The sequence below is a fragment of the Homo sapiens genome, chromosome 5, assembly GCF_000001405.40.
Source record: "Homo sapiens chromosome 5, GRCh38.p14 Primary Assembly".
In the NCBI taxonomy this organism is placed as follows: Eukaryota; Metazoa; Chordata; class Mammalia; order Primates; family Hominidae; genus Homo; species Homo sapiens.
The window spans coordinates 148969335-148980772 of record NC_000005.10 but is presented as its reverse complement, the minus strand read 5'-3'; the positions used below and the strand labels follow the sequence as shown (position 1 = coordinate 148980772).

Genomic DNA, 11438 nt, shown 5'->3' with positions numbered 1-11438 from the left:
GCAGACTTAGCAAGTGGCTTCCAACTCTTTCTTGAGCAGTGGAACCTACTTTACATGTGAACTTTTCAGTGGAACTCCATAACAGAAAATGGCAAAACAACAACAACAACAACAACAACAACAACAACAAATAGCTTATTTAGGCCATTGAATTCTTCCTGGAAAGAAACATCACTGTTTGCTGAACCTAGGAAGCACTACAGAACCCCAGGATTCCTCAAAATGTAGTTGGAAACTCTAAATTAGGCAATTCAGTCTGTCTCTATTTTCTAGGCAGCTCAGACAATTAGGTGCCTTGCTAAGGTCACACACTGAGACTAATAGAATCCAGTTTCTAGAATGTGTTACCCCCAATACAATGTGAGCTCCTCAAAGGGCAGAGACCTTCCGTGCATGTGTCACTCCTGTATCTTCCCTGTGCAGCACAATGGCTGGTCCATAGTAGGTGCATGAGCAACAGTGGCGAATGAATGAACGAGTCTTATGGGCCATGACCTAAGGAACAGTCAACAAATGTTTATTGAGGACATTTTATGTGCCATGCTCCCTGTCCTTGGCTCTGGGAATGGAATAGAAAAGGCTGATGAATGTGGTTTCTTCCCATTTGGACTTAGAAATAAGCATGGACCTGAAACAAATGATCACAAGTGGTTTATGAAATAATTGCAATGTGCCAAGCTCTGTAAAGAGAGAATATGTGGGCACCTGAGAGGGCCTGGCATCTGGAGCATCTGAAAAGTTCCCTTGAGAGAGTGATGTGACTGGTAAGTGAGGACAAGTCAGGGTTTCAAAGGCACAACTGGAGACAGAAAAGGAACTCCACAGGGAGCAGGAAGCCAGGTGTGAAGGAGCACAGGTGAGAAAGAGATAGAGAAGGGGAGAGAGAGAAAGAGAGAGAGAGGGAGAGGGAGACAGAGAGACAGAGACAGAGAGAGAGAACCACGTGTTTGCAGAAGCCCTTAGAGATCCAGGTGCCTGGGTGGGAAGAACCAAGGGGGCAATGAGAGGAGGCTGTAGACTGTAGAGGTGGGATTAGGCCAGAAGGCAGACGGCACAGGGCATTTGGGGTCTCAAAAGTGGCAGGAGATCCATAAATCAAAACATAGGCCTCCCAGCTGTCTTAGTAAATAAAGTCTTGTTGGAACCACCATTTGCTTATGTCTTGTCTGTGGCAGGCTTCATGCCACAGCAGCAGAGCTGAGTAGTTGCAACAGAGACTATCTGACCCACAGTCCCAAAATATTTACCAGCTGGCCTTTTACAGAAAGTTTGCTCACCCTTGGACTGAAGGAACCATAGAGACAAGAGGGCAGAAGCCAGATGGGCCTCGGAGCTGCCTGCTAGAGTGAGGTGGGGAGTAGGATGGAGGTGGGTCCCGATCCCCAGACCCACTTGTCCCCTCCTAATGCCTCATCTGTCATCTAGGTTATGGGTGTGGCCGAGGCTTGGTGAGGAGAGGCTCTGACCTCAGCTGCTCAGCTGCAGGACTCCTGCCAGACTCTGTCACTCCTGCAGGGAGGGCTGTCTCTGCCTGGAGCCATGGGTTGGGCAGGAACGGGGCAAATTCTCAGCCTCCACCCGTCAGTTGTATGCACTGTTCCCTAAGCCCTCCGCCCTTGCCAGCTTCTGAGCCTCTGTACAAACTGTTCTCTCTGCCTGGAGTGGCTGTTTCCACCTACCATTGCCTGTCAAAATCCTTTCCACCCTTCCAGGTGAAGTTTAAAACCACTTCTTTCAGGGAGCTGGCCCTGATTATGGCCCCTCCTCCCCGTCCCTGCCTCCTCCTCATCCAGGAGGAATGCTCGCTCCTCTTCTGGCCTCCCATAGCCCATCTTCCCCTCCTTTGTTGTAGCGACAGGAGCAAATTATGAGTTCCTGGAGATGTGTTAGTCCATTCATCCGTTCACTCCACAGCTATTTATTGAGCACCTACTGTGCACCAGAAGTTGTGGACAAAGTCTCTGCTTTCATAAGAATCAGAGAGAAAAAGCAACTACCAATAAGTAAATAAACAAATGAAACATTTTCAGGCTGATAAGGGCTAAGCAAGAAAAAAAAATCTCATGTTTGAGAGTTTTGGGGTGGGGTGTGGGTACACCAGGTTAGGCAGGTCAGTCAGGGACGGCCTCGCTGAGGAGGTGAAATTTGAGCTGAGGTATGAATCAGCTATGGAAAGAGCTGGAGGGAGGGCATTCCAGGTCGAGGGGAGAGCAGGTGCCAAGACCCTGAGGCAGGAAAAAGCTTGGTGTGTTTGAGAAACAGAAAAAAGTCTGGTGTGGTGGGACTTCAGTGGAGGAGGAGAGGTATGAAGGGGTCAGGGAGGCCAGTGGGGCAAGGTTGGGTCAGGCTTTGTGAGCTCTGGTGAGCAGTGTGGGGTTTTGTGTGTATAGGAAGCCACTGGACACTGTTAAGCAGGGGAGTAATGCCCATTCTTTCAGCTAAGTGCTGAGAATGCAAGGAAGACTGGAGATGCTCCCTTCCCTCTAGACGTGTATGCCCTGGTGGAGGTGCCTTTCCTTGATGAATGTCATTCAAGCACAAAGCCTGGTTTCCACTTTGCAGATGCAGATATTTGATTTGCCAGGTTCCTCTCACCCCTCATTATTGAGAGTGTAGTTCAAAGTCTTCTGTGGCATCAGCTGGGAACATGTGAGAAGCACAGACTCTGGGGCCTCACCTCAGACCCCCTGGATGAGAATCTGCAGTTATCAACAGCCCCCACTGATTTGTGTTCACGTTAAACTGTCCTAGAAGCAATCAAGGTACAGAGTGATAGATTCTCACTAACCAAATTGAGAAGGCAGTAATGAGTCGGATGCTAGCTCAAGAGTTTATAGTGGGGGCTAATAACCTTACATCTGAGCTTCTCAAAACTTTAAAGTGCATATACGTCACCTTCGAATCATGTTAAAATGCAGACTTTGGGTCAGTAGTTTGGAATGATACCACAAACTCCGCATTTGTAACAAGCTTGAAGGTGATGTTGATGCTGCTGATCCCAAAATCTAAGCCTCATGTGACACTCAACGCCATCAGTCCACTTGATTTTTATTCTTATCCTGTGATGAGTTGCTTTGTCTCATTATGTGAATCAGGAAACTGAGCCGTAGGAAGCTTATGTTTGAGCTGTGTGACCTTGGGCAGGCAGCTAGGCTCATTTCCTCATCTGTAAAATGGGGTTGGGGGTACTTCTGCCTGCATTAGAGGACTGCTGGGGAGAGCAAATGAACTAAAGCACATCCTGTTCTTAGCACAGCGCCTGGCACACAGCAGGGACTCAGTATTTGGTCATTTGTTTATTTTCTAGGACTTGATCTAGGTTTTCAGCCTCCAAAGCTGTGGTTCTCTCTCCCAGGTTAGTAGAAACTAGGGGTCAGCTCAGCTAGAGGATGAGGTTAGGAATGAAAATACTTAGCAATAATTGAATATGGGGGCCGTCGGCTGGCAGAGTTTCCTCAGAAGTGTGGTGAGTTCACGTCTCCAATTCTGAGGATATTTGTACTGGAGCTTTGCCCATCAAAGCTTCTTCTTTCTCAGACTATGCTGGAGACACACAGGCATGTCTTTTGGTCTCTTCTTTTTGCCCTCTAGACCACACACTCACACAGCTGTCCTGACAACAACCATGACCTCAGACCCATCAGAGTTCAATTGCAAAGACCACAGTACCCTGTGCTATTCCAGGCATGGCTTCTGGAGGAGAGGCCCAGATTTCCAGTTGGCCTCAGGTGACACAATGATGACTGAGTTTACAAGCTTCTGTGGCCATTTCCATTTAAACAAAGGAACAGCATGTCGTGCCTCTATTCACTGTCCTCTCAGCTCCAGTTTTTGAGGCTGACATTCCTGAAAGTGCTCCAAATCCTGGGGATAGACTCAGTCTGTAGTTCCTTAGTAGAAATAATCTGTACAGCACTTAATAATTTATTAAGCACTTAATTTTATTTCATGGCTTTCAAAAGGACATAGAGCAGATATTATCCAAATTGCAAATGAGAAAATTAAAGAGATTAAGTAATGCCCTCAATCACTCATGCAGTAACTGCCTTCCAACTCTGAGTTCATTTAATCAACCTATATTTATTGAGCAGCCAGTATGAAGAGGCCCTGTGCTGGGCCCTGGAGAGAGAATATTGAGGAAAAGCAGGCAAGTCCTTGCGTTCATGGTGCTCACATTCTAGTGGGGAAGACTTATGTTAAACAAATAATCACCCATATAAATACAACAGTGCCTCTATGATAAGAGCCAAGGAAAACAGGTGGTGTTGCTTTGACAGCCTAATAGAGAGGGGTTTGACATAAAAGAGAAGGCTTCCCTGAAGCTACTGAGCTGGGATTGTTTTTTTTTTCTTTAAGTCTTCTTTGCTATTTATTTTATTTTATTATTATTACACTTTAAGTTTTAGGATACATGTGCACAACGTCAGGTTTGTTACATATGTATACATGTGCCATGTTGGTGTGCTGCACCCATTACCTCGTCATTTAGCATTAGATATATCTCCTAATGCTATCCCTCCCCCACCGCACCACCCCACAACAGTCCCTGGTGTGTGATGTTCCCCTTCCTGTGTCCATGTGTTCTCATTGTTCAATTCCCACCTATGAGTGAGAACATGCAGTGTTTGGTTTTTTGTTCTTGTGATAGTTTGCTGAGAATGATGGTTTCCAGCTTCATCCATGTCCCTACAAAGGACATGAACTCATCATTTTTTATGGCTGCATAGTATTCCATGGTATATATGTGCCACATTTTCTTAATCCAGTCTATCATTGTTGGACATTTGGGTTGGTTCCAAGTCTTTGCTATTGTGAATGGTGCCACAATAAACATACGTGTGCATGTGTCTTTATAGCAGCCTGATTTATAATCCTTTGGGTATATACCCAGTAATGGGATGGCTGGGTCAAATGGTATTTCTAGTTCTAGATCCCTGAGGAATCGCCACACTGTCTTCCACAATGGTTAAACTAGTTTACAGTCCCACCAACAGTGTAAAAGTTTTCCTGTTTCTCCACATCCTCTGCAGCACCTGTTGTTTCCTGACTTTTTAATGATTGCCATTCTAACTGGTGTGAGATGGTATCTCATTGTGGTTTTGATTTGCATTTCTCTGATGGCCAGTGATGATGAGCATTTTTTCATGTGTTTTTTGGCTGCATAAATGTCTTCTTTTGAGAAGTGTCTGTTCATATCCTTTGCCCACTTTTTGATGGGGTTGTTTGTTTTTTTCTTGTAAATTTGTTTGAGTTCATTGTAGATTCTGGATATTAGCCCTTCGTCAGATGAGTAGGTTGCAAAAATTTTCTCCCACTGAGCTGGGATTTGAAGAATAACCAGGCAGGGCCCTGACAAAGACTTTTGTTTTTACCCTAAGAGTACTGTCCAGCCAACTGAGGGGCTCGAAGATGGATGTTTTGCACAGAAACTCCCTTAGCACTAATCTTAGTCCACTTTTTTTATCCTTGCCTTAGTCTCCTACTTCCCTGGGACATGCTTGAAGACAGAAATTAGCTCTTAAGTGGTGAGACCCAAAGAGACTAAATCTGAGCTAAGTAACTCAGTCAAGGCCCTGGCCACACATGCCATCCTCAGTGAATGTCCGAAGAATGTAGGCAGCAGGGGATTGAAGGCAAAATGCCAACATTCCGAACAGGCAGGAAGGTGAATGATTTATATCATGAACATGCAGGTCGGTGCCTGAAAATGAGGACAGCAAGGAATCTAGAATGTTCCATCTTGGGCACCCTTTCATGCAAAATCAGAAAAACTTTTCCATTCCCAAGGAATAGAAGCTGGTAAGGTATGTACTCTGGGGTCTGAATGCCTGGGTTCAAATCCCAGCTCTTCTAGTTAGCAGATTCTAAGCAAATCACTTCTCCTCTTTTCCTCTTTATCTGCCAAATGGGGAAGATAAGATCTCTTCTAAGGATGTTGTGAGGATTAAATAAGATGATGTCAGTGAAGCGCTTGACACATGGTGAGTTTTAGTAAGCAGTCGTGATAGCATTATTAGGGGTGCTGGCAAAGAGCCTGGGCAATTTCACAGCGTGAGCCCCTAGTCTCTCACTTGTATGGGTGAAGACCTCCTGTGAAATATGATTAGCTGCTTCCTTCAGGTTTAGCTGATGAGTGACCTTGTCACTGCCCTAGTGGAAAAAAATAAAAACTCCTGAGATTGACATCCACAGATCGTCACCATGGGGGCCCTGCCTGATTTTTCACCCTCCTTCGAGATCACTTGCGTGGCCTGCAGTACCTGCTGCTATTCCCCTAAAGCATCATGCCTTTCTATGGGAGATGCTCACCTGTATAACTGGTCACCTGGCTACCTCCTAAAGTCACATCCTTATGAATCCTTTCCCAATTTCCCCACAGAAAGTATTATTCATTCAATCATCAAGTATTTACTGTTGGCACATCTAATGTGTGCCAAGACTATTGGAGGTATTAAGGACATAGTGATAAACACAGGTTCAAAATTCCTGCCCCTGTGGAGACTCCGTTTTGTTTTGGAGAAACAGGCAATATGCAATATGCAAATAAATAAACAAGGTAGTGTCAGATACTGAAAGAATGTTTCCAGGGAGAAAACAGAGGTGACATGATAGAGACTGCTGGGGTGCATGTGGAGAAGCTACAGGGGATGATGAGATGACTGGGGAAGACCCGTTTGAGGAGGATGCATAAACTGAGACTGACTGATGAGCAGGAGCTAGCCAAGTGAAGTGACGGGAAAAGATGGTTCTAGGCAGAGGGACGAGCAGGGCAACCCGAAGCAGAATGAAGGGCAGTGGGACCAAGCAGAGTGAAGATGGTGAGGATGCTGTGAGTGCAGCTGGAGAGGCAGGCAGGGTCCAGGTCACACCTCGCTCTGAGACTCCCCCCATGCTTTGAGATAACTCCGTTGCAGTCTTTTCCACATTGGCATATAATGTGGGCATTAGGGACCAGGCTTTTTTTTATGTCTGTACCCCAAGCACAATGCGTCGTTCATAGTCAGGACTCACTAAATGTTGATTGAATAAGAGCCAATTTGAGACAGGGCCTCAAAGTCTGGAATGGATTTTGGGTGATGCAGCATGTCTAAGGCAGTCTTTGCTGAATCACCACCCTTGTTACACTTCTCTCCAAGTAATTTTGGTAGTAACTGGGCAAATGCCCAAAATTTGAAAACAGTTCCAAATTACAGATTTGGAAGACTTGCTTCTGACTGAGATAAGCATAAATCATCATCTCTTCTGGAAGGAGGCAGAGCCAGACAGGAGGTGTTCTGGAAACAAACATAAACTGTTGATCAAATTCTAATCAATTTCATAAAAGAAATTGTAGCTGAGTATAAGTGACATAAAAGGTAAGACAGAGACGTGACCTCCCCAGAACTAGAATAGGCTGGTGGGACGATAAACACTGGCAAAAGGGGACCCTGGGAGAGGGAATCTGAGGGCTGAGCGCGATAATTGGAAAACAGACCCAACCAGGATGAGACAGCAGCCAGGAGCGAGGGTCTGAGTCACCACTAAGGAAATATCGAGCCACACGCAGCTTTTCCTACCCGCCTAGTGAAAACTATTTGCTCAAATCCTGTTCTATTTCAGGAAGTGCCAGCTGCATCATAGGAAGTTCTGCTCTTTCCACATTAGGAACAAGAGTCACTTCTCTTTGCTTTTGGGTGTTCACAGGGCACCAGTTCTGGAGGGCACAGGGTTATTCTGCCACTCAAATAAGGTAGATCAGTACAGTCTAATCTGGGCAGTTAAGCAGGCTGCCTTCCCTCAGACAGAGAAAAGCTGAGCTTGAGTTACCTCCATAAAGGATGGCTTTCAGTCCCTCTGAGCAGCCCTAAAGTGTTCCTGTGTCAGCTCAAAGAGAAAAAGTGGCCAGATGTCATTCACTGTCATCTTCTCCTCTTTCTCCATTCTGGCCTGGGAGAAGAACATGGAAACCCTGGCCTCACCTTCCTGGAGAGGAAACCATGTGCAAGGACTCCAGAATGTGCCTCCTTTGCAGGCTGAGGCTTCTGTGTGTTCTCACAGCCAACTATTTCCCGGGGACATTGCTGAAAGCTGCCTTCTGAGGGGGATTAGGGGCAGGCAAGTTGCAGGTGACCTTAGTGGGTGAGAGAGGGTTTCTTCTCATTTATCTCCAGGCCTGATTTAAAGAGTTATAGTTGGTATGTGGTGAAGTTTGCCAAGTATGGGCTGTACACACTGAGGATTTTATAGGACAAGGAGTTCTTGTCGGGTGGCGCTGGGGATTTTTTTCTTCCTGAATTCCATATTACAGCAGGTTATCTAAGGATTATATTTGAATTTTGGGGTGTTCGGAGGTTTCCACAAAATTTTCTAGGTTTTATTAGAAATCTCAGCATATTTCTGTTATAAGACCCATGACACATGGAAAATGAGTGGATAGATAAAACAGAGAAAAAGGAAAATTGAGAGGGATCACTATATCTGCCACTTTGAGATGGGTTACAGTTGTTTTTCATCCAAAAGTTAAGTGGATCAAATCAGTCTTCGATTGTGGTAAAGAGCAAATCCAAGAGTTTATTCAGATGTTAGTTTGCTGATCTGCAGTCTACTGTAGGAACAGAGACTGGGTGTTTTTTCTGCCATTCATTTGCTATGTGACCTTGGTCCAGTAGCTGCCTGTCTCTGGGTTTTAGAGTTGGACTAGATAATGATTTCCTAAATGTCATGACTGTTTAACACAACATTAAAAACAATTAAATCATAGAAAGTTGTGCCTGATTGAATTCTCCTTTAATCTTCTTGATAAAGGAAAGAAGAAAGTCTCAGTGTAGAGTTAAAATATCTTCAACACTTCCTGAGCTTATGTTTTTACAAAATGAGAACAGCCTTCAAGCTCAATCTTACTTGGACTTCAAGTGTCTTTCTAGATGATATATATATATTTTTTGAGACGTTATTTTGCTCTTGTCGCCCAGACTGGAGTGCAATGTTGCGATCTCTGCTCACTTCAACCTCCGCCTCCTGGGTTCAAGCTATTCTCCTGCCTCAGCCTCCCGAGTACCTGGGATTACAGGCACCCGCCACTACGTCCAGCTAATTTTTGTATTTTTGGTAGAGACGGGGTTTCATCATGTTGGCCAGGCTAGTCTCGAACTCCTGATCTCAGGTGATCCACCCGCCTCTGCCTCCCAAAGTGCTGGGATTACAGGCAGGAGCCACTGTGCTTAGCTGATAATTTAATCATATTGTTTTGTCTTTGTTTTACTTATTTTTATGGTTACCTTTTATTTTAGACAAGTGATTCCAGTTTTCTGTTTACAGCAGTGATAGAGGGCTTTCTCTGAAAACAGATGTGTTTATGTAGATGAGAACACTTGAAGACATATATGAAAGTGTTATTGACATATGACAAAAACTGTGGGGTTGGTACCTGAATGGTTGGACTTTGGGAAACCCTGGTCTAGGTGACCTCTAAATGTTTTTCTGGCTCAGAGGGCTTATAAATATGAATGCCCCAGTTTCAGTACAGAGCACACGCTGCTGGCTTCCAAGCTGTCTTAAATGTAAGCTCTGTGTGCACAGCAATTGTATGTGGCTTTTTGGCCACTGTATCCCAAATGTCCAGTTCAGTGGGTGGCATGTGGCTGGACTTCAATAAATGATTCTGAAGGAATAAATGCATGACTCAGGTGAAAATGAGATATGACATCCCTTTTATGTTTGGGAGCAAAAGAGAAGAAAAACCCTTATATTCCAGACCCTGTTGGGCCTGAAACAAGAGTGTGGCCTCAGCAAGTATAGGTAGGTGCGTGCGCATCCATACACATAGCAGAGGACTTGGGACAGTCCTTATGTTACCATTCACTGCTGTGTGACTCTGGCAAGGGCCTTAATCTCCCTGAGCTTCAATTTCCTCATCTGTTAAAACACACGCACATACATGCACACACACACACGTGCACACACACACACACACTTTGTGTTTTAAATGTTTACCCAAGTTGAATTTTTGTGATATCATTGAAATTTACAGAACATATCTAGTACTGTTTTATTTTAAAAAACAACTTGGCCTTTGACATCTTAGATTCTCTCTGGAAAAAGGCAATGTTTAACTAATAAATAAATGAGTACATACATAAATTCATATATTTCCCTTTTATTTTCATTTTCAGTTTTTCTTGTTTTCAAATCTCATTGGCTTTTGGCTTGGAGTATTTTTAAATTGACTGGCTGTTTGGTTCAAATGATGTTTAAACAAGCTTTGGCGCGAGCTGCAGACCTGTTGTGCTTGCTGGGTTGAAGTTGGGTGTGCCAGCAAACTGCCTTGGCTAAATGACAGTTTAAATACAGCCAAACAGTTGGTCCTGCTGGGAGATTCATTGGTGGGAAGATTCCACAGAAACAATGCCCTGGCTCAGACATTCCTGCCCCTGCAGGGGGATCTGAGGGACCAGGTGGTCTCCTCAGGTCCAGGAGAGATTGCCAGACTCAGGGGGAGCCATCACTGACCTTCATTCAGGTGAATCTGTGTTCTCTTTCCTTCTTCCCCTGGGGCCCTAGTTGGCTCTGATTTCCAGCAGTAGTTTGAAGCTGCTGCCTCTGAAACTGGAGATGGTGAAACACAGGCAGAGACTGGACTTTCTCATCAGCCTCACTTCATATTTCAGGTGAAGGCTTGTCTTTGGATAGAGGCAGGAGAAGGGGTTTGAGACCATCTTTCAGACAAGGTCATCCCTGCTTCCTCCCTCCAACTCCAGCCATTTGGTTGAATTTATTAGCCTTTTCTGAGGGCAAAAGACAAACAAAAAAAGCAAAAAGGAAAACAGAATTCTGTGCAATGCAATGAAAAACCTCCCAGTGATTCAAACAGCATGAATAGTTATTACAGAAAGAGGAAAGTAACAGGGCCATTGTGATGATGAATTGAGACAATGTGGGTAAAGCATTGGAAGCTGTGTCCCACCTGTAGGAGACAGTCCATAAACTATAGCTATTATTATTTAACCCCTCACATGGCAACTGGCTTCTAGTGGGTCTTAGTGTATGTTTGTTGATGAGCTCATGTTAGGATTGGCTGCCTTAGCGGGAGGGAGCTAGAGGAGTCCAGGCTGAAGATGAGCGTTGTTGAGCTATGATATTGATACTCCCATCTAACATCAGAATAGAGATGGAAATAAGCTCAGAGACAATGCTGTAGCTCTGCCCCCGTCAGGCCAGCTGATGTCCTTCAGGGCAGGGTGGCATTGACTTGCTAGACAGCAGCTGACTGACTTTCCATTGGCCCTCCCTTTTCTGCACAATTGATTTTGAACTTAGGATATGCCTCAGGCTAAGCAAACATGGCTTCAGACCCCAGATATTTGCAGCAGCCCTTTAATAGGGCCATAGTTGGAAATGTGAAGCAAGAGACTGTCCCCCTATTTGGCACGCATTTTTAGAGTTTTTGAGGTTTGGCATGA

At 44.8% G+C, this 11438-nt stretch overlaps 2 annotated features.

The window, feature by feature from the left end:
* Positions 1512 to 2031: an enhancer, noted in NCBI's record as "H3K4me1 hESC enhancer chr5:148358305-148358824 (GRCh37/hg19 assembly coordinates)". NCBI's record gives its function as "activates a minimal SCP1, AML or CMV promoter by ChIP-STARR-seq in naive H9 embryonic stem cells {active_cell/tissue: H9 hESC(naive)}" and the evidence as "EXISTENCE:reporter gene assay evidence [ECO:0000049][PMID:30033119]".
* Positions 10126 to 10707: an enhancer, noted in NCBI's record as "OCT4-NANOG hESC enhancer chr5:148349629-148350210 (GRCh37/hg19 assembly coordinates)". NCBI's record gives its function as "activates a minimal SCP1, AML or CMV promoter by ChIP-STARR-seq in naive H9 embryonic stem cells {active_cell/tissue: H9 hESC(naive)}" and the evidence as "EXISTENCE:reporter gene assay evidence [ECO:0000049][PMID:30033119]".